At 54.0% G+C, this 23,907-nt stretch overlaps 1 long non-coding RNA gene and 1 pseudogene across 3 annotated transcripts; one reads left to right on the top strand and one right to left on the bottom strand.

Moving 5' to 3' along the window:
- Window positions 1-9,628: 9,628 nt before the first annotated feature.
- On the bottom strand, window positions 9,629-19,839 carry LOC105370698 (uncharacterized). Of its 3 annotated transcripts, none has more exons than XR_001750918.2 (4): window positions 19,370-19,839; window positions 17,350-17,842; window positions 10,623-10,703; window positions 9,629-9,921 (listed from the first exon to the last, which is right to left on the bottom strand). It is a non-coding gene; the product is annotated as an uncharacterized LOC105370698 (long non-coding RNA). The 3 variants fall into 3 exon arrangements; XR_001750919.1 differs by lacking the exon at window positions 19,370-19,839 and adding an exon at window positions 19,211-19,249; XR_944262.4 differs by lacking the exon at window positions 19,370-19,839 and having other exon boundaries at window positions 17,350-17,934.
- ELK2BP (ETS transcription factor ELK2B, pseudogene) lies at window positions 17,198-21,609 on the top strand (annotated as a pseudogene).

The raw sequence follows: 23,907 nt of genomic DNA, 5'->3' as shown, positions 1-23,907 counted from the left end.
GCGTGGACCACGTCCCGAGGACACCTGGGCCAGCCAGTGCTGCGGGCTGCAGCGAGTGTGTGTGCACACGCATGCCCATATATGTGTTGTGTGTGCTTGTGTGCATGGGAGGGGGTCCCTGGGTGGGCCAGGGTCTGCCTCGGGGGCTGGAGTGGGAGGCCTGGGCCCCTCAGCTTTCCTCCAACCCAGCCTCACTTCCCCGCCCCTCTCAGCTCTGCGTGGCCACCAGCCAGCCCTGGGCTTGGCCCCGGCATGAGGCCTGAGGCAGGGCCCTGGATAACGCTCAGGACGGGCACCTGGGCCTTCTGGGCCTCCTCGCCAAGGACCAGACTCGGCCTCAGCGCCTCACACTCATCGGGGGTCATGCCCTGGGGCCCAGCCAGGACGCTCGCTGCCCCACTCAGGAGGCTGGACACACTAGCAGGTGGGGGGGCCGCAGCTCCCCCTCCCCCACCCCCGTCCAGTCTGAAAAACAAGACCTCATGGGCACCGGGCCGCAGCTCCCACCCCCACCCCACCACACAGGCACAAACACATTCTTGCAAATATTTCTAAAAATGCTGAAAATGGGAACCACAGAGCAGGTGGGACAGTGGTGTGGAAACCCCCACCCACCTCCGAGATGGCGATTTGCATTGGGGGAGGTGGGGGGAAGGCTGGCACCCAGGCAGCTGGTTTGCAGGATTCCTGACTATTCACACTCCCCAGCCACACCCCATGTCCAGGCCAATGCTGTGGCCAGGCCCAGAGTGACCAGGCCCCAGGGCACTTCCCAGAGGACTGCCTGGTGGAGGGGGTAACAAGTCGGACCTTGCCCCAGGGGAGCTGGGCCAGGGAGGAGACCCCTGCATGGAGGTCCCAGGCATGGCCCCCAGGAACAGGACCCCCAGCACCCTCGGAAGAGGATTTTGTGGGTCACCTGGGGACAGAGCTTCCTCCGTGCACCTGCTGGGCCCCTCACAGCCCACCTGTCACCAAACCTCTGTCCTCCCCTGTGCCCAGGCCTGGCCAACCCAGGCGCTTTCAGCCCGTAGACCCTAGGTGGGGTCGCCCAACCCTACCCCGGCCTCAGTACCCTCTGGGGTTGCCCCACGAGACCACCCCAGAACAGACCTGCCCAACCCCAGCCCTGCATCTTCAGTGGGACACAGAGGCCTCCATAGGACCCCACCCCACACCCAGGGGCTGTCCGGGGCCCATCACCCCAGCAGCTGAGACCCTGGGAGATGACACCCTGTGCCTAGAACAGGGTGGACCACATGGGGGGACATTCTGACCCGTGTCCCAGCCAGGCAGGACAGCCCCACCCCAGCCTCCTAGAGGAGGGGTCTGTGCCCGCGCCCACCCCCTCAGTGGAACCTAAGCCCTCCAGGGAGGACTCAAGTTTGAGGAAAGGATCCCTGGGAAGACCCCCAGGGTGCAGCCCGGGTGACAATGCTCAGGGGGCCCTTCCTGCACATACAGCCTCCCACAAATATAGTCATGCACACCCCACAGAGACACACAGAACACACAAACACACAGAGACACACAGACACATAGACATACAGAGACATAAAGACACACAATACACACAAACACACTAACACACACAGAGAGAGACACACACACACATAGGCACACACAGAGTCAGAGACACACAGACACACTACCACACACACAGAGACACACAGACACACATAGGCACACAGAGTCAGAGACACACAGACACAGAAACACAAGCACAGACACACTACCACACACAGACACGCATAGGCACACACAGAGACAAAGACACACGCAGACACAGGTACACAAGCACAGACATGCTACCACACGCAGAGACACACACAGAGATAGATACAGACACACATAAAGTCAGAGGCACACAGACACATATAGACACACAGAGGTACACGGCACAGACACACACACTCAGAGGCTCACACTCAGCCACAGCCACGTGCACACAGCTCACACGGCCCACACTCAGGTCCACAAGGGCTCACAGCGTCACAGAGGCCCCCAGTCCCACAGCCAGACAAGCACAGGCCGTGCTCACGCTCACACACTGACGCACACATTCTCCCACCCGCTGCCAAGCTCACGCTCACACATGCACACGTGGCATTGCTGGGCCAGGCTTTGGCACATGGGGTCAGGGAAGGCTCAGAGAGTGAGCATCACAGACACAGGGTGGGACTGGTGTCCGGGGGGTCCATGAGGAGCCGAGGGGCAGCCCTGCCACGCCCACAGGCCCCAGGTCTATTCTCAGGCACCCGCCTGGGGCTGGGGGCTTCCTTCTGGGAACACGAGGACCTCCGTTCTGCACGGAGACACACGTCCAGAAAGGGACACCCCAGGGCCACACCCAGACACACCCAGCCCGACTCGGGCACCCAGCACACGCCGGGCACACAACAAACACAGGAGCTGGCACACGCCTGGCCCCAGGCCAGGACAGCAGCAGGCAACTCGGCCAGTGCACACAGCCGCTCACACACACCACACATCCCCACAAGCCCTCACACCCTTACATCCCCACACTCCCACACATCCACACACATCCTCAAACACCCCACACATCCACACACACCCCACACACCCCACACATCCTCACATCCCCACACACCCTCACACCCCACACCCCACACACCCCACACATCCACACACACCCTCACATCCCCACACACCCCCACACATCCACACACCCCACACCCCACACACACCCTCACACCCTCACACTCACACACACTCTCACATCCCCACACATCCACACACACCCCACACATCCACACACACCCTCACATCCACACACACCCTCACATCCCCACACCCTCACATATCCTCACACTCCCACACATCCCCACACACCCCACACCCCACATCCACACACATCCTCACACACATACACACACCCTCACACACCACACACCCACTCCCTCACACACCCTCACACACCCCACACATCCACACACCCTCACACTCACACCTTCACACATCCACACACACCCCACACACCCCACACATCCACACACACCCCACACCCCACACGTGCACACACACCCTCACACCCTCACACATCCACACACCCCACACACCCTCACACATCCTCACACTCCCACACATCCACACACATTCTGAAGCACCCCACACATCCACACACACCCCACACACCCCACACATCCACACACACCCCACACACACCCACACATCCTCACACTCCCACACATCCACACACACCCCACACACCCCACACATCCACACACACCCCACACATCCACACACACCCTCACATCCCCACACATCCACACACACCCTCACATCCCCACACACCCTCACACATCCTCACACTCCCACACATCCACACACCCCACACATCCCTCACACTCCCACACATCCACACACATCCCACACATCCTCACACACATACACACACCCTCACACACCACACACCCACACTCCCTCACACCCTCACACACCCCACATCCACAACCCTCACACCCTCACACCCTCATACACACACCCACACACACATTCTCACTTCACACACCCACACACATCCACACACCCACACATCCATACACACCCACATTCTCACACACCCTTACACCCTCATACACCCACATTCTCACACACATGCTGACACAATCCCAACTTCATACATCCCACACTCACACCCTCCCACACATTCTCACAACCCTCACACTCACCCCACACTTCCGCATATCTCCACACTCCCACACCTTCACAAACATTTACAAGCCCTCACACCCTCACACTCTCATGCACCCCTAACACTTATATCCTCACACACACATCCTCACACATCCCCACACCCTTACACTCTCAGTCACACCCTCACCCCCTCACACCCTTACACACCCTCACATGCCCTCATACACACCCTCACACACCCACACACCCTCACCCATCACACACTGACTTCACACGCATTCTCTCTCACACTCACCCACACACCCTCATGTGCCCTCACACCGACACACCCACTCACCCTCACACACCCACACCCTCATACACCCTCACACCCTCACATGCCCACACACACACCCTGACACACCCACACACACCATCACAACCCTCAGACTTCATGCATTCTCACACCCACACACCCTCACACCGACACACCCACTCACCCTCACACACCCTCACACACCCCCTCACACCCTCTCTCACACACACCCTCACACACCATCACACAGCCCTCAGACTTCACATTCTCACACTCACCCTCACACACACACACCCACACACCCTCACATACCCTCACACCCACACCCTCATACACTGTCACACACTCCACACCCACACTCTCACACACACCCTTACACCCTCACACACACACTCACTCACCCTCAGACACACACACCCTTGACAGCTTGCCTGCAGTCTGTCAGAGGGGTCCCTCAGAGGGCCACCACACCCTGCGGATCAGGTGCCCAGAATCCACCATCCAGCGGCTCTGGGCCTTTCCCCTCTCAGCTCATGACCTTTGGGTACCACGGCTCAGGAGTACCCCTGTGCTCCCCAGCTGCCAATCCCTGCATCTCCTTGGGCCCCTGCTGACCTCTCCAGTGGCCTCAGGGTGACGTCCTGGCCAGGCCCTGTCCCTCTGCAGCCACCTCTGCCCACTGCCCCACCACCTGCCCAGGGCTCCCCCAGGCTCCCACACCAGCCGTGGGGGTCTCTCAGGCAGGCCGGCCAGGTGGCACCACGGCTCCCCCAAGGGCAGCAGGTCAGGCGTGAGCATTGCCGTCTCCCATCCCCTCCTGCTGAGCCCCCACAGGAGCCTGGCAGCCCGATCCTGTCACCATAGTGAGGGCAGCTCCTGGCCCACCAGGCCCAGTCCACACCAGCCGGCCGCAGGCAGCGTGTCTGGGAGACACCCCAGGCCGCCCACCGCCCAGCAGGGGACAAGCCAGCCCCCAGACCCGTGCCCTGCACAGGGGGACGGGGCTCAGACCCAGGCTGCCCTTGACAGCAGGAGCTGTGGTGGGCCCACGGTGGGGACCACTGGGGACAGGCCTGGGGGCACACAATGCTCCTGAGGGGCCTCAGGCTGCGTCCTGGGTTGGGGCACTGTTCTGTGAGTAGGTGACATGTCACCTTGAAAGGGCTTCTATTTCACTAAGAGAAAAGGTGGAGGCTTTCCTGGGGGAGGGCGGTGCGGTGTTGTGTGGGACAGTGAGAGAGGGACCACCAGCACAGACAAAGGAGAGGAAAGTGCAGGGGGGGTGGGGGCTGCAGGGACAGAGGCTTGGGGAGGCGCTGGAACCGCAGGGCGCGGGCCTGGGGGGCCCACACGCCACCTCGAGGGACCGCACCTGGGGACCACAGACGCAGGCCCACTCGGGCTCTGGAGGGCCCTCCTGGGGCTGCCTGGCCACGCTCTCTCTCTCCTGGTCCCAGATCCCCTCCACGGCCCCTCCCCACCCGTCCATCCAGAAGTTGCCCAGGGCTGGTCAGAAGGGGCCACATGACACCCCCAGGACAGGCTGGAAGTGGAGGGATCGTGGTCCCGCAGTTCAACTCCCACCCGGCACTCCCCACTCAACATCACTTAGGACAGTTATATTGTTTCGGGTTCTTTTTTTTCTGTATTAAAAGCATTAACTTCCAATACTGCTTTTATAAAACACACATGCACTGTGGTGAGGACGTTTTGTTAAAATGAAAGGGACAAGCCGGGGCTGGACGGGGAAGCCCCCTGGTGGGGGGACACGGGAGGGGAACCCTGCACTCACAGAAAAGCCCCTCCATTCTTTGCACGTTTCAAATGTTGTATTTTCAAATATAATTAAGCGACGTGGGAGGAAGGGCACCGCGTGCTAGGCAGGAGCAGCCCCCTCCTGGGAGGGAGATGGCAGACAGGGGACAGGGTGGGGGACAGGGTGGGGGACAGGGTGGGGGACAGTGACCAGGTGAGGAAAGATGCGGGTCAGGGACTGGGGGTGCAAATGGGGAGGTGGTGGGGGACGAAGCCCCTCCAAACCTGACGCCCCGCCGCTTCCCGAGCCCGGGGTTCAGGGCTTCCTGTTTTCCTGTGTGATTATGAGCTCCTGCTCCTGCCCTCGCCCCACGCGCGAGTCTCCCCTGGAAGGATGTGCAAGCTTTTCACAAGCACCACAGACTCTTACAACCCGGGACCACCTGGGACCCCAGGCGGTCAGGACCAGGGCCACCCCACACGGCAGGCACCAGCGCTCCTGACCTGGGCTGCAGAACAGCCTGTGGTCAGGCAGGGGCTCCCACTGGCCCCTGTCCTCGGCAGGCCCTTCCCCAGGAGCAGCGTCCGGGAGCTCAATACAGGCTTGGGGGCTGCCCGTCCACCTGGGGAGGATCTTTGCAGGGCCCTTTCTTTCTCACTAAACAGCTTGCCTGTAGAAAGGAGAATTCGAAGGGATTTAAATCCAGTATTTTTACTGGTTTTCCCCGGGGCTAGCCAGGGTGTCTGCCCCACCTGCTGGTGGAAACGAAGTTCCCACTCTGGCCTTCTCCGTTAGGGCTTTATTTCATGGAGGTTGCATATGCCCGCCTCCCTGCAATGCGATGGTGAGGCCAGGGACTGCGGATGGGGCAAGGCCTGGAAGGGTGTGACTGTCTGTGAGGTGGGGATGGGCCTGCAGAGGGACGTCCGGGAATACACGGAGGCGTCTCGCACCGACACCGGGGTTCACTGTGACGGGAGGGGCTAGAGACCATCTGAGTGGGCTGGAATGGGGGTTGTCGCACACCCCTCGGGGGTGGATGTGGGTGCCCAGCAAGAGAAGCAGACCCGGCCCCACAGGAGGCTGCAGATGGAAGCTTCAGAGGCGGCTCCGGGGCTGCCACAAACCCCGCCCCTCCACGTGCCTCCCTGTCCCGGGAGCCGCCCCTCTGACCCCCAGGCCCTTCCCCGGACGTCCCAGCTGCTCCACAGCCCAGGCTTCTCCCCTCCTGCCCCCATGGAACCCCCACCCTGGGCTGTCTGGGCCTGCCTAGCCGGCCGTGTGGGGTCCCCCAGGCCCGTGGCCCAAGCACCCATCTCCGTGTCCAGCGCCCAGCGCACTCGGACGTTTCACACGCGGGCCTCTGGGGAGGACCCCCAGGCACCGCCAGCCCAACCCCGGCGGCCGGAAACTGGACCCGCTGCGGCAGCCGCTGAGGCTCTGCTGCCCCCGTGTGGCCGACAGCAGCATCGAACGCCGCCGACCACGCGGCGCTTCCCGGGCTCGGGGCAGGGGCAGGGGCACGGGCAGGGGCACGGGCAGGGGCAGGGGCAGGGGCAGGGGCAGGGGCAGGGGCGCTCTCGGGGCCGGATCCCGGCTCTGCCTTGGGCTCAGGGCTGGGGCCCGGTCCGTGTCCAGCACTGTGATCCCCTCCCCTCCCCAGCGCCTGCCGCGGAGATGGCTGTGGCATCCGCGAACAGGCGTCAGCTTGTGGGGCTCTGTGGTCTGGGATCCCAGCCTCTGCCAAAGTCCTGCATTCCCTGGGTGTGGGGACGCTGTGACCTGGGGACGCTGTGACCTGGGGACGCTGTGGCCTGGGGGCCTTGCAGGGCTGCACCTGGGGCAGATGGGGAAGCTGGCCTGGGCTCCTCGGTGGGGCCCCGCGCCCCCCACTTCTGCCGGCAGCATCCGATGCTCCCTGACCCTGGTCAGGACCCTTCCTCCTGGCGTGGCCCAGTGTCCCCGCAGAAGCCCCAGAACGCGGCCTGCCCGGGAGCCGGCTCGGGCCTGGGGCCTGCGGGTCTTCACTATGGTCGCGAATGGACCCACGGGATGCTGCATGAGGCGCACGAGCTTGAGGCACCAGCCTCCGGCCACTGTCCCTGGAGGACAAGGGACGCGGCTCCGGAGCAGAGGGTCCTCCCCTGGGGATGCCCTCCCGGCGGCTGGGTGTGGGGCTGGGGGCTGTGCCCGGAAGTGGGTGGGTGGGAGAAGCCTCCTGAGCACAGAGGACAGCAGCCAGGCCCAGGCCCAGGCCCTGCAGGCCCCCAGGGGCTCCAGAGCCCCAGAGAGGAGGAAGGCCTCCGTGTGCTCACAATCAGCTCACACCCCGGGGAGGAACCTCAGAGGGTCGGGACAAGGAAAGGAAGGCCCCGGCCCAACATCGGGGTCTGGGCGCTGGTGGGACAGGGCAGGCTCAGCCTTGGGGCCGGTCAGGGCCCTGTTGGGGTTCGGGTCCCCCTGCCAGGTCCGCGTCTGCAGCCACAGCCCCTCAACCCCAGCAGGGACCCCAGAGACCGGCTCGGGACCCCCTGGTGGCCGTCTTGTGCCACTGCAGTTCTGCTGCTGAGAGGTTCCCGGGGTTCCCGGGGTTCCCGGGGTCCCTGGCCCGGCAGCCTCCTGGGCTCCCAGGCAGGCGCGCTCTGCCGTCCGCTCATGCGGGGACAGCGGACCTCAGAGGCAAGCCTCAAAGACGCGCCCAGATCAGGATCCCAGGAACCCAGCTCACATACAAATCAGAAAAGCCCTAAAGAAGCAGAAACAAGAATCAGTGAAACAAGAAACTATAGAATAAGAACCCAAACAAAAGCAAAATGTCGGCGTTATCAGACATAGAATATGCAATGTGTGCTTAAGAGGGTTTTTTTGTTTGTTTTGTTTTGAGATGGAGTCTCGCTCTGTCGCCCAGGCTGGAGTACAGTGGTGCGATCTCGGCTCACTGCAACCTCCGCCTCCCGAGTTCAAGCGATTCTCCTGCCTCAGCCTCCTGAATAGCTGGGACTACAGGTGCCCGCCACCACGCCCGACTAATTTTTTTGGATTTTTAGTAGACACGGGGTTTCACCGTGTTAGCCAGGATGGTCTCGATCTCCTGACCTCATGATCTTCCTGCCTCAGCCTCCCAAAGTGCTGGGATTACAGCGTGGCCACCACGCTCGGCCAAGAGATTTTTTAAACTTACTTACAGAAGCTATTCAAATATTACTGCAAAATGGGAAATTACTGCACATTGCATTTTGAAATGACCTGAGAGTTTTACGAAGAACTTCTAGAACTGAAAACCGTAATAGATGAGGCTAAAATAAGAATGGATGGGACAGGCAGCGCAGAGGACACGCAGGAGCAGGAGCTGGTAACACCGAAGAAAGAGCAGGAGACGCCACCCAGCCCGAGCGCAGCCCCGCGGAGGCTGGACCGAGGCTCCCACAAGGGCTTCTTCTGCCCAAAGGAGAAACAGAGTCGGGGGAGGCAGTGGCTGGGAATTTTCCAAAATCGCTGAATAACAGGATGTGTCAGGATCAAGGCCAAGTCCCAAGCAGGATAAATAAAAGCAAACCGCGTCCACACCTTGACGCTTGCCGATGGAACTGCCAACACCAGAGACAAAGAGACTTTAGAAGCATCCAAAAGGAGGCCGGGCGTGGTGGCTCACATCTGTAATCCCAGCACTTTTCGAGGCAGAGGTGGGTGGGTCACCTGAGGTCAGGAGTTGGAGAGACCAGCCAGGCCAACATGGTGAAACCCGGTCTCTATTAAAAACACAAAAATTAGCTGGACGTGGTGGCGGGTGTCTGTGGTCCCAGCTACTCAGGAGGCTGAGGCAGGAGAATCGCTTGAGCCCGGGAGGCGGAGGTTGCAGTGAGCTGCCATCGCGCCACTACCCTCCAGCCTGGGAGACAGAGTGAGACTCCATCAAAAAAAAAAAAAAAAAATCCGTCAGGGCCGGCCCAGGCAGGTGCACTCGCGCGGCCACAGACTCCAGAGCCGGACTCGGGAGCCCCCCGGCGGCCGTCCCGTGCCACTGCACGTTCTCATAGACAGGAGAGTCTCAAGAACCCTGGAGCAAACAAGACGCCTGGAGCAGCCTCCCAGCATCTACTCACCTCTGCCGGCCGTTTACACCCGAAAGCCACCCCTCAAGACCAGGACAACGGTGACACTTTCATACAAAGGGCACAGGCACTTAACTCCGCACGCTGGCTGCTGGCGCCTCCTAAGAGTGTGTTTAGAAATGTTAAAGAAAAAATTATTCCATGATAGTTGTTCAATGCGGAAGCAGGTGTGATTCAGGACCACCGCCACAGGAGCAGGGACCATGGCCATGGGGGAGAGAGATGGGGCTCAGTTCTTAACACAGCATGGGCTGGCAGGGATCGACAGCCAAGGAGGGAGCTGGGTAAACTCGGAGGACGGACATTCCCAAGAGGAAATATTGGGGGGAAGGAGGGTTCTGGCTAAATTAGCCCAGGAAGATTTTTGCTGAAGACAGACCAGGGTGATCAGACCTGGGAGATGGTGGAAGATGAGGAACTCAGGATCAAGGGTGATCAGATGTCAAGAGTGGGTCTTTAACCTGACTTAGGGGGGTTCTTTTTTTTTTTTTGAGACGGAGTCTCACTCTGTCACCAGGCTGGAGTGCAGTGGCATGATCTTGGCTCACTGCAACCTCTGCCTCCCGGGTTCAAGCGATTCTCCTGCCTCAGCCTCCCGAGTAGCTGGGATTACAGGCACCCTCCACCACACCCAGCTAATTTTTGTATTTTTACTAGACAGGGTTTCACCATGTTGGCCAGGCTGGTCTTGAACTCTTGACCTCAGATGATCCGCCCACCTCAGCCTCCCAGAGTGCTGGGATTACAGGCATGAGCCACCGCTCCGGGCCCCACCGGGTACTTTTTAAAGCCTTTTTCTTACAAGGAAGTGCAGGCTGGCCTAGGAGAAGGTTCCAGAGCCCGACTGTAGTTTGGCCAAGCAGAGAATCTTTGTCAGTCCACCCTGTTTAAAGAAAGAGGAGACATTCTGGTTTCCCTCCAACAATATAAGTACATTTTCTTGTTGGGTGGCCTTTCGTTCATTAAGAACCAGCTGGATTTTCTGTTGGGACTGGGTAGAAGAGGACATTTTGCCGCATGGTGCTAGCAGTTGGACATTCAAAGAGGAGAGACTCTGAAAATAAACGAAACACAAAGGTTAACACTTAGAAATGCAGTTTCCGAACCCAGTGGGCACCAGGCTGGAAGATTTCTAGACGCTGGGCCTGAAGCATCTTCAGCTGCAGCCAGGTAGGCAGCTGAAGGGCCTTCCTGATTTGCAGGTCAGGTGTTGCAGAAGCTGCCCGCACAGGATCTGTGGGGATGATTTCTCTAAAGTTTACATCAACTTGTCCCATTTCAGCTCACAGGGCTTCAGGAACAGAGCAGTTTTAAATTTGACTGATTCCAAGTCAGAGGGTGAGGGAAAAATTGGAAAAATTAGTTTGCAGAGTTGTTGCCTGATATTAGAGAAAACTAGAAGAATTCTGAAGGGGCCAGCCCCTCCACACCTGTGGGTATTTCTCGTCAGGTGGGACGAGAGACTGAGAAAAGAAATAAGACACAGAGACAAAGTATAGAGAAAGCACAGTGGGCCCAGGAAACCAGCGCTCAGCATACAGAGGACCTGCACCGGCACCGGCCTCTGAGTTCCCTCAGTATTTATTGATTACTATTTTCACTATCTCAGCAAGGGGAATGCAGCAGGAGAACAGTGGGGAGGAGGTCAGCAAGAAAACGTGAGCAAAGGAATCTGTGTCACAAGTAAGTTCAAGGGAAGGTACTATGCCTGGACATGCACGTAGGACAGATTTATGTTTCTCTCCACCCAAACATCTCAGCGGAGTAAATAACAAGGCAGCATTGCTGCCAGCATGTCTCGTCTCCCACCACAGGGTGGTTTTTCTCCTATCTCAGAATAGAATAAATGTACAATCGGGTTTTATACCGAGACATTCCGTTCCCAGGGGCAGGCAGGAGACAGTGGCCTTCCTCTATCTCAACTGCAAGAGGCCTTCCTCTTTTACCAATCCTCCTCAGCACAGACCCTTCACGGGTGTCGGGCTGGGGGACGGTCAGCTCTTTCTCATCCCACGAGGCCATATTTCAGACTATCACATGGGGAGAAACCGTGGACAATACCCGGCTTTCCAGGGCAGAGGTCCCTGCGGCTTTCCGCAGTGTATTGTGCCCCTGGTTCATCGAGACTGGAGAATGGCGATGACTTTTACCAAGCATACTGCCTGTGAACACTTTGTTAACAAGGCACGTCCTGCACAGCCTAGATCCCTTAAACCTTGATCCCATACAGCACAGGTTTCTGTGAGCAATTGTTTAGGGTACAGGTCAAAATGGAATCTCTTATGTCTTCCTTTTCTACATAGACACAATAACAGTCTGATCTTTCTTTTCCCTAAAAATTCAAGATCCAGTCCAGTTTGTAGATAAATAACAAAACCTCGTAAACAATGAGCAGGGCTGAAATCTCATCACGGTGCCCTGCAGTTTTGCATTGAATCATTTTTTTCTCCACAGTCACTCCCACATTTCCATAAATGTTGATCCAAATAAGAGTGATATGTTTGCAAAGTCAGTCTAGTTTCACTATACTTGGCCTGATTGTTTACATAAGTGCAACAAGAAGCAGTTGACCACATTCGCTCTCTTTAAATTTGCTTTGCTGGAGGCTGGGCGTGGTGGCTCATGCCTGTAATCCCAGCACTTTGGGAGACTGAGGCAGGTGGATCACGAGGTCAGGAATTCAAGACCAGTCTGCCTAACATAGTGAAACCCCGTCTCTACTAAAAATAAAAAAATTAGCTGAGTGTGGTGGTGTGCACCTGTAATCCCAGCTACTCGGGAGGCTGAAGCAGGAGAATTACATGAACCTGGCAGGCGGAGGTTGCAGAGTCAAGATCACGCCATTGCACTCCAGCCTGGGTGACAGAATGAGACTCCGTCTCAAAATAAAAAAAAAATTGCTTTGCTGGAGCTTTTCATAAAGAATCTCAGATTGAACTGTAAAGGCCTCCCGGGGCTGGGAAGCCACATCAAGGACATGCCATCTGACTTGGCACAGGGTACCTATAGATCTGGGTGAGTTCCTTTCTGCTCAGTCCCCAAAATACAGAGGTTGCTGGGCTGCCTTACTCAACCTGCAAGACTGGGAACCCTCAGGCCAATTTTTCCAAGGGGGGGTTTACTGGCTCCATAAAGTCAACTCTAGTTCCTTAAAGCTGTGTGGTCGTATCTGAAGATAGGATATTCCGGTCAAAGCCTTGGTAATATCATCAGAGTCTGTAATTGTGCCGTTACAAGGAGAACAGATTCTTACTGAACTTTTACAAATAACTCTACTGTCATAAAAATAAGTGTAGGGAAAAGAGAGATCAAACCGTTACTGTGTCTATATAGAAAAGGAAGACATAAGAAACTCCATTTTGATCTGTACCAAGAAAAATTGTTTTGCCTTGAGATGCTGTTAACCTGTAACTTTAGCCCCAACCTTGAGCTCACAGAAACCTGTGCTGTATGGAATCAAGGTTTAAGGGATCTAGGGCTGTGCAGGACATGCCTTGTTAACAAAATGTTTACAGGCAGTATGCTTGGTAAAAGTCATCACCATTCTCCAGTCTCGATTAACCAGGGACACAATGCACTGCGGAAAGCCAGGGACCTCTGCCCTGGAAAGCCTGGGTATTGTCCAAGGTTTCCCCGCCCTGAGACAGTCTGAAATATGGCCTCATGGGAAGGGAAAGACCTGACCGTCCCCCTAGCCCGACACCTGTAAAGGGTCTGTGCTGAGGAGGATTAGTAAAAGAGGAAGGCCTCGGCCGGGTGCGGTGGCTCATGCCTGTAATCCCAGCACTTTGGGAGGCCGAGGCGGATGGATCACCAGGTAGGTCAGGAGATCGAGACCATCCTGGCTAACATGGTGAAACTCTGTCTCTACTAAAAAAAAAAAAAAAAATACAATTAGCTGGGCGTGGTGGTGGGCGCCTGTAGTCCCAGCTACTCGGGAGGCTGAGGCAGGAGAATGGCATGAACCCAGGAGGCGGAGTTTGCAGTGAGCCCAGATCATGCCACTGCACTCCAGCCTGGGCGACAGAGCGAGACTCTGTCTCAACAAAAAAAAAAAAAAAAAAAAAAAGAGGAAAGCCTCTTGTGGATGAGATAAGAGGAAGGCCTCCGTCTCCTGCATGTCCCTGGGAGCAGAATGTCTCGGTGTAAAACCTGATCATACATTCATTTTATTCTGAGGAGAAAACCGCCCTGTGTCTGGAGGCAAGATATGCTGGTGGCAATGCTGCTGTTACTCTTCACTACACTGAGATGTTAGGGTGGAGAGAAGCATAAATCTGGCCTATGTGCACATCCAGGGATAGTACCTTCTCTTGAACTTATTTGTGACACAGATTCCTTTGCTCACGTTTTCTTGCTGACCTTCTCCCCACTGTCACCCTGTTCTCCTGCCGCATTCCTCTTGCTGAGATAGTGAAAATAGTAATCAATAAATACTGAGGGAACTCAGAGGCCCGTGCCGGTGCGGGTCCTCCGTATGCTGAGCCCTGGTCTCCTTGGCCCACTGTGCTTTCTCTATACTTTGTATCTATGTCTTACTTCTTTTCTCAGTCTCTCGTCCCACCTGACGAAAAATACCCACAGGTGTGGAGGGGCTGGCCCCCTTCAATAAAAACACTCACTACTGGTTTTGGGGTTCTGGAGGGATTAGGAAGGGAGAAAATAGTTGTTTCCTCTCTGTTCACAAAGATGTAACTTACCAAATTGCTGCAAACTATTGACAGCTTAAGGGAAAAAAGTTTTCTAAAATCTGAAAAACAAAACATTAAAGAACCAGCAATGTTTCCAACAAAAAGTCATTTAAAAATTATCCTCGGCCGGGTGCAGTGGCTCACACCTATAATCCCAGCACTTTGGGAGGCCAAGGCGGGCAGATCACGAGGTCAGGAGTTCGAGACCAGCCTGAACAACATGGTGAAACCCCGTCTGTACTAAAAATACAAAAAAATTAGCTGGGTGTGGTGGCGCACCCCTGTAATCCCAGCTGCTCAGGAGGCTGAGGCAGGAGAATCACTTGAACCCGGGAGGTGGTGGTTGCAGTGAGCCGAGATCGCGCCATTGCACTCCAGCATGAGCAACAGAGTGAGACTCCATCTCAAAAAAAAAAAAAAAAATTATCTTCCTTTGTTCATTCAGTCCCATGTAATTGAATCTTGTTCTGTTTGAAGCTGGATTAGTAGTCTGATGACATCAGTTTTTTCATTCCATTTCTGAAAATTCTTACACAGTCCAATGGTATGATCTTAAAGCTATCAGCAGCGGTCTGTATTTCGGAGTAACTGTCAGAGTCTTTTTCATGAATCTTGAAGAATAGCCACTTTTGTCTACCTAATTGCAAATTACTTTAGTAAAGAATCAAAGGAAAAGAATAACTGAATGGCAAAGGCTTAAAATGGCCATTTTTAAAGATCTGATGAGAGTTCATTATAATAATGATACAATTGACAAGGAAATCTGGTTATTTCTGTAACATACAACACTTTAACACAATATCTGAAATTATGGCTGATAAAATTATACCAGGACATATCCGATTTCTAGGATTTCCACATAATTTCTGAAGCATTCATTAATGACATATCCAAAAATATGATTTAAAGATGTAGTATCAAATACTATTTGTTTTCTTTATAACTTTACTTATCAAATAAGCCCAATTAGACCAGGCACAGTTGCTCACACCTGTAATCCCAGCACTTTGGGAGGCTGAGGTGGGCAGATCACCTGAGGTTGAGTTTGAGACCAGCCTGGCCAACATGGTGAAACTCCATCTCTACTAAAAATACAAAATTTAGCTGGGCGTGATGGCACACACCTGTAGTTCCAACTACTTGGGAGGATGAGGCACGAGAATCACTTGAACCCATGAGACGGAGGTTGCAGTGAGCCAAGATCTCACCATTGCACTCCAGCCTGGGCAACAGAGTGAGACTGTCTCAAAAAAAAAACAAACAAAAAAAAAAGCCTAATTAGTTTAAAATCTCTTTTTTGAGACAGGCTCTTGCTCTGTCACCCAGGCTGGAATACAGTGGTGCAACCATTGCTCACTGCAGCCTCCACCTTTCAAGCTCATGCTATCCTCCCACCTCAGTCTTCGGAGTGGTGGGGATTACAGACATGTGCCATGTCACCGGGCTAATTTTTATTTTTTTGTAGTGACAGGGTCTCACTAAGTTCCCAAGACTTGTCTTCAACTCCTAGTCTCAAAGGATCCTCCCACCTTGACCTCCCAAAGTGCTGGGATTATGGGCATGAGCCACCATGCCCAGCCTACAATCCAGGGGTAAGGCCATTCCAAAGCATCCAAGCTGACTATATTGAAATGACCCCAATAGGCCACCTCAAGTATTTACTAGTGATAGCAGACCACCTTACCCACTGGGCAGAAGCTCTCCCCTTCCCACGCGCAACAGCCAGTGATGCAGTTAAAACCCTGTTAGAACACATCATACCCAGGTTCAAACTAACAGAGACCACTGATTCAGACAATGGGACCCACTTTACCGTGCTCATTAAAGGGCTAACCCAAGCACTACAAATAAAGTGGGAATACCATACTCCCTGGCATCCACCCTCACCAGGAAGAGCAGAAAGAATGAACCAGACTCTAAAAACCCACCTACCTAAATTAATTCTAGAAACCCGGTTACCATGACTAAGTGTCTTCCCATGGCCCTATAAGAGTCTGAACTGCTCCCTGAAAAGACATCGGCCTATCCCCTTATGAAATGCTTCATGGGTTGCTTTATTTAAGTTCCACTACTCACCTCCCAACATTTGAGACAAACGATGAGTTTCTTAAAAACTATGTATCCAGTCTGTCTTCTATCCTCTCCTCCCTTGAATTCTCAGTTCAACACCAGCCCCGAGATCACATTCTTATCAGAAGTTGGAAAGGGGAAAAGCTTGAACCCACCTGGAAAGGACCTTATGTGATGCTCCTAACGACTGAGACGGCAGTCAGCCCGCTAAGGAGTAGACCCACCATACCCAGTCAAAAAGGAGTCTCCCTCTCCAAAGTCACGGACCTTCATCCCAGGACCAACCCCCACCAGAGTAACGTGAAAGAAAAAAGCCTAATTGGCCTGTCCGCATTTCCTCTTCTCTTTCCCTTAGCTACCCCACATCTCATTATTAATGTAACCACGGCAAAGTCACCCCAAATCATTACTTTTGATGCTTGTCTTGTTACACCTTGCGGAGACTTGGGACGTCAAACGCAGCTCTCTACTTCAGAAAAATGTCTTTGCGAAAAAAAATTACCTTTTTCGTGAATCACTGACATAATGAAAAACAACATGAAGCACAAGTTATCTTGATGGCACACAAAAATCCTTGTTTTTCCTAAGCCAATTACTTAAAACGTAAAAAAAAAAAACCTTCCGGCCTCCGCACCCAGGCCTGGGGGGCGGCGGGGCCGCGTATGGAGCCCCCCACCTCCCGGAGCTGCCAGCATGGCCAGCACCACCGCCCCGCTACACACAGGTACCCCTAGGATGGCGTGAGCACTCCCCCGGCGATGGACCCACCTGTGACGCTCTGGCACTTTCTGCTGCAGCTGAGAGCAAGGCAACGGCCACAGCTCCTGGACTTCATGGGATGGTGGTGGTTGCAGAGGAAGGTGGCCTAGCCGTGGGGGCGACGCAAGAACAAGACCAACGTGAATTACGACAAGCTCAGGCGGGCCTTGCCGTACTACTGTGTCTGGAATTGGTCGGTTCTTGATCTCACTGACTTCAACAACGAAGCCGCGGACCCTCGCAGTGAGTGCTACAGTTCTTAATAGGCGGCATGTCCCGCCGTTTGTTCCCTCATGTTCCGAGTTTTTGTTTTTTTTTTTCTTCTGGTGGGTTTGTGGTCTCGGTGGTTCAAGACTGAAGCTGCAGACCTTCGTGGTGAGTGTTAGAGCTTTTAAGGCACCGCGTCTAGAGTTGTTTGTTCTTCCTGGTGGGTTGGGGGTCTCGCTGGTTTCAGAAATGAAGCTACAGACCTTTACCATGAGTGTCACAGCTCACAAAGGCACTGTAAATGCAAAAACGAAGCAGTAACAAGATTTATTACAAACAGTGAAAAACAAAGCTTTCCCCTATAGAAGACGACCCTAACGGGTTGCCGCTGCTGGCTCAGGCAGCCTGCCTTTATTCCCTTATCTGGCCCCACCCACATCCTGCTGATTGGTCCATTTTACAGAGAGCCGATTGGTCTGTTTTACAGGGAGCTGATTGGTCCGTTTTGACAGGGTGCTGATTGGTGTGTTTACAATCCCTGAGCTAGACACAAAAGTTCTCCACGTCCCCACTAGATTAGCTAGATACAGAGTGTCAATTGGTGTATTTACAAACCCTGAGCTAGACACAGTGCTCATTGGTGCATTTACAAACCTTGAGCTAGATACAGAGTGCTGATTGGTGCATTCACAGTCCCTTAGCTAGACATAAAGATTCTCCAAGTCCCCACCAGATTAGCTAGACACAGAGCGCTGATTGGTGCATTTACAACTCTTGAGCTAGATACAGAGTGCTGATTGGTGTATTTACAATCCCTTAGCTAGACATAAAGATTCTCCAAGTCCCCACCAGATTAACTAGATACAGAGTGCCGATTGGTGCATCCGCAAACCCTGAGCTAGACACAGGGTGCTGATTGGTGGGTTTACAAACCTTGAGCTAGATACAGAGTGCTGATTGGTGTATTTACAATCCCTTAGCTAGACATACAGGTTCTCCAAGTCCCCACCAGATTAACTAGATACAGCGTGCCAACTGGTGCATCCACAAACCCTGAGCTAGGCACAGGGTGCTGATTGGTGTGTTTACAAACCTTGAGCTAGATACAGGGTGCTGATTGGTGTATTTACAATCCCTTAGCTAGACATAAAGGTTCTCCAAGTCGCCACTAGACTCAGGAGCCCTGCTGGCTTCACCCAGTGTATCTTGCACCTGGGCTATAGGTGGAGCTGCTTGTTAGTCCCCCGCTGTGTGCCCACACTCCTCAGCCCTTGGACGGTCAATGGGACCAGACGCAGTGGAGCAGGGGGCAGCGCTCTTCCGGGAGGCTCGGGCCAGGCCGGAGCCCATGCCGGCGGGTGGCGGTGGGGGGCGGCGGGGAGGCTCAGGCATGGCAAGCTGCAGGTCTCGAGCCCTGCCCTACGGCGAGGCAGGTAAGGCCCAGTGAGAAATGGAGCACAGCGCCGGTGGGCCAGCACTGCTGGGGACCCCGGCGCACCCTCCGCAGCTGCTGGCCCGGGTGCTAAGCCCCTCACTGCCCAGGGCAGGCGGGGCCTGCCACTCCGAGTGCGGGGCCCGCGGAGCCCACGCCCACCCAGAACTCGCGCTGGCCCGCAAGCGCCGCGCACAGCCCCGGTTCCCACCCGTGCCTCTCCCTTCACACCTCCCTGCAAGCCGAGGGAGCCGGCTCCGGCCTCGGCCAGCCCAGACAAGGGCTCCCACGGTGCAGCGGCGGGCTGAAGGGCTCTTCAAGCGTGGCCAGAGTGGGCGCCAAGGCCGAGGAGGCACCGAGAGCGAGTGAGGGCTGCCAGCATGCTGTCACCTCTCACGACTATGACGAGAACATCATCCGCAAGGTGAGCGGCCAGAAGTTGGTCTACAAGTTTGTGTCCTATCCTGAGGTCGCAGGGTGCTCCACTGAGTGAGGACTGCCCGCCCCACCCAGAGGTGTCGGTTACTTCACCATGGCAGTTGTGGCCCCTGCTGCTGCACATGCCGCCCCAGGGGGCACTGCCTCAGGAAAGCCAGGCACACCCAAGGGTGCAGGAATGGCAGGCCCTGGCGGTTTGGCGCGCAACAGCCGGAACAAGTACATGCGCTCGGGCCTCTGTTCCACCTTCACATCCAGTCTCTGCAGCCGCAGCCACCCCCTCAGCCTCGGCCTGCTGCGGTGCTCCCCAACGCAGCTCCTGCAGTCCAAGCCCCTGGGAGGCCTGCCTGGAGGCTGAGGAAGCCGGCTTCCCTCTGCAGGTCATCCTGACCCCGCCCGAGGCCCCAAACCTGAAATTGGAAGAGCCGAATGTGGAGCCGGGCTTGCGCCGCCCTTTGCCCCCGGAAGTGGAAGTGGAAGGGCCCGAGGAAGAGCTGGAATTCGCGGGGGAGAGAGGGTTCGTGCCAGAAACCGCCAAGGCCGAGCCTGAAGTCCCTCCACAGGAGGGCGTGCCAGCGTGGCTGCCGAGGTCCTTATGGACACCGCAGGGCAGGCGGGCGGCCACGCGGCTTCCAGCCCTCAGATCTCCCAGCCGCAGAAGGGCCGGAAGCCCCGGGACCTAGAGCTTCCACTCAGCCCGAGCCTGCTAGGTGCGCCGGGAGCCGAACGGACCCCAGGATCGGGAACTGGCTCCGGCCTCCAGGCGCCGAGGCCGGCGCTGACCCTGTCCCTGCTTCCTACGCACACGTTGACCCCGGCGCTGCTGACACCCAGCTCGCTGCCTCCCAGCGTTCACTTCCGGAGCAGCCTGAGTCCCGCTGCGCCCCGCAGCCCGGCCAAGCTCTCCTGCCAGCTTCCGTCCAGTGGCGGCGCCCAGGTGCACATCCCTTCCATCGGCGTGGCTGGCCTCTCGACCCCCGCGGTGCTCTCGCCAGGGCCCCAGAGGCCATGACCACCACCAGCACCACCACCCCTTCTGGGGTCCCTCCATCCGTGCTCTCTCAAGGAGAAACACAGTTCAACTGAAAGACTCATGCTCTGATTGTGGTGGGGTGGGGATCCTTGGGAAGGATTTCTCCCAGGAGTGACTCTCATTAACTCCTCCACAGAAAACACTCAGCTTCCACAGCTTCTCTCTTTTCTCTCTTTTCTGTCCGTCCCCCAGTGGCTGCCCTGACACGTCTCCTACTTCAATGGTAGGGGCGGTTTATTTATTTATTTTTTGAAGGCCACTGGGAAGCGCCTGACCTAACCTATTAGGGTGGTCAGGACGTCTCCCCCACCTCCCCGCTTTTTTCCCCAAGACAGGACAATCGGGGTCTGGCTTGAGAACGACCTTTCTTTCTTCATTCCTCGGCCTGCCCGTGGGGAGATGAGGGAGCCCTGTGTCCATTTTAGGATGTGAGTAGAAGTTAGTTTCGTTTTATTATTCCTGGCCATACTCGGGGTCCAGGAAGAATTTGTACCATTTAATGGGTTGGGAGTCTTGGCCAAGGCAGAATCACACCCTTGGAATAGAAATTTCCACCTCCTCAACCTTTCTCTCAGACAGCTTATCCTTTTTTAACCAACTTTTTGGCCAGGGAGGAATGTCCCTTTGTTCTTCTTCCCCCTGAGAAGCCATTCCTTTGTCTGCCAAACTCCCTGGGGTCCTGCCTGTTTCCTCCCATGGAGGGGTTTTGTGGGGGTGGTTCCTGTCTGGGGGGCCCCTCCAGCCAGTACTCCAGGTCTCCCTGTCTCTCCCCTGCTGCCATTTTGATAGTATAATCTATTTTTAAATGGGGCTTTTCAATAGAGGAGAGGGAGTCATCTCTTCCTATATTTGGTGGGGTGGATGTGAAGGAAGGGATGTGGGGGGCAATCTTCCTGCCGCCTCCCCCTCAGGGGTTTATTTTTGATAACAAATGTGTATTTTCAGTTCCCTCCCTCCCAGCCCCCCAATTTCCTGCAGGTAGGTACAAAGGACACTTTCAATGTCCCTGGAGTTGGGAGGGAGGAATGGGGGACATAAAGCCTGTCCTGTCTCTATTCTAGGCAGGAAGAGTGGGTTCAAAAGACTCCTGGGCTTCCCTGTCAGCCCTGGCCCAGCCCAGGCCTTGGGACCTGGGGGTTGGTGATTTGGGGGACGGTGCCGACTTTAACCACATAAGATCCCTTTTCCACAATCCTTTTACAACTTTTTTTTTTTTTTTTTTTTTTTGAGACAAAGTCTTGCTCTGTTGCCAAGGCTGGAGTGGAGTGCAGTGGTGCAATCTTGGCTCACTCCACCTCCCAGGTTAAAGCGATTTTCGTGCCTCAGCCTCCCAAGTAGCTGGAATTACAAGCATGCACCACCATGCCTAGCTAGTTTTTGTATTTTTTGTAGAGATGGAGTTACACCATGTTGGCCAGGCTGGTCTCTAGCTCCTGGCCTCATGTGATCCGCCTGCCTCAGCCTCCCAAAGTGCTGGGATTACAGGCATGAGCTACCACGCCCAGCCTAACATTTCATAATTTTTAAAAACACGCTTCCTCATAGTACAGCTTCTCATGTTAATAACAGACCCAAATATGTTTAGCTTTTCAATACCATATAAAAACAAGATGCCAGGCCAGGCACAGTGGCTCATACCTATAATCCCAGCACTTTGGGAGGCCAAGGCAGAAGGCTCACTTGAGCCCAGAAGTTTGAGACCAGCCTGGGCAACATAGCAAGATCCTGTCTCTACAAACAAATTAAAAGTTAGCTAGGTGTTGTGGCCCATGCCTGTAGTCTTAGCTACTGGGAGGCTAAGGCTAGAGGATCGTTTGAACCCAAGAGGTTGAGGTTGCAGTGAGCTATGATCACACCACTGCACCCAGCATGGGTGACAAGTGAGACCTTGTCTCTAAAAGGTAAAATTTAAAATTTGTTTAACAAAAGAATAGAAACTGAATGTATAACTTCTAAATCAGAAGAAGAAAGATTAAGTGAGGAAAATAACTCCTAAAGAAATAAGAAAACGATTTAAAAGATACTCAGAAAAAGCAAGACAAATAGAAACACAAAATAAGGAGGTAGAAATAAATAACGAGTAATGAAAATAAAAAGACATGGACTACATTCTCCAGTTAAAAGATGGATGCTCTTAATCCAGCTATGTGGTTTTTCAAGAGACACACACAAAACAAAATGACACAGAAGAGTTAGGAGGGAAAATCATGGGAAAAGATAAACCAGGCACACAGTAGCTCACAAAACTCACAAGTTTGTGGCATTTTACTGTCAGGCAAAATTGATGTTTTGGGAAAAAGCATTACTAGAGATGTTTTAAAGGGCATGAAATACTGATTATTGTAATAACATGTAGCACACGAAGCACTTACAATGGCCTGGGGGCTGCTCTCAACCCCTTAGTTAAATTAACTCCCCATTTTACAGGTGAAGGAAGCCAAGCACAGAACAGTCAGGAAGTATTTTCTGAATTTTCATGTAAGCTGTCTTTTCAATCATCTGCCTTATGATTTGTGCTTCCGAATTTTTATTTTATAACTTTTTCCCTGCTCCAACATCAATAAGTGATCCTCCTTTTTTTAGCATTAACTTTATAGTTTTGCAATTCACAGATCTATAATCTGGCTCAAGTCCACGCACATATGGGATAAGTGGTGGAGGCCCAGTTTCTATTATTCCCTGTATAGTGAGTCGATTTTGCCAACACCATTTATAAACGATCTTGTCTCATTGATTTGTGGTGTTTCCTTTTTATCTTATATTAAGAATCTGTATGTGGTAGCAGTAAACATTGTTCATATTCACCAATAGCCAGTGGTTCTCTACTTCCAGGAGCACAGAGTTACTCCTCCCTCACCCCTTGGCCTTGTCATTCGTTCTGGCCAATGATATTTGAGAAGCGATGTATGGAATTTCCAGGTCTAAGCATTCAATGGCCAGGATCCCTCTCCACTCCTAGCTTCCCTGCTATAACTGTGATGATAACCCTCTTAGTTCATAGTTTTCTATCCTTGTAATTTTTCAACTTGTGTCTTCTTTTGTTTTAATTATAAAGTTGCTCTTGGAGTGCTCGTTTCTTTGTTTGTTCATTTGTTTGTTTCAGAGACAGGGTCTTGCTGTGTTGCCCAGGCTGGACTCAAATTCCTGGACTCAAGCAATCCTCCACCCCAGCCTCCTGAGCCTGAGTAGCAGGGGCTATAGGCAAGTGTCTGCCACTATGCCTAGCTTTGTCTTGTCTTAATTTTTTTTTAATTTCAATACAAGAATCTCTACTTTTTAACTGATTAGTTTAAGCCATTAATATTTATTGTGATTACAACTGTATTATGATTTAGTTCTATCATCAAAGTTATTTTTTGTTTGTTTCTTCCACATTTCCTGTTTTCCATTGAATAGATTACATCTTCTTTTACTAGTTTAAAAAATTGTACTTGTAACTTTCATGGTGATTGTTCTT

Source organism: Homo sapiens, chromosome 14 (genome assembly GCF_000001405.40).
Source record: "Homo sapiens chromosome 14, GRCh38.p14 Primary Assembly".
NCBI classification, from domain to species: Eukaryota; Metazoa; Chordata; class Mammalia; order Primates; family Hominidae; genus Homo; species Homo sapiens.
Note: the sequence above shows the minus strand (reverse complement) of the source record. Positions and strands in the feature narration are given on the sequence as shown.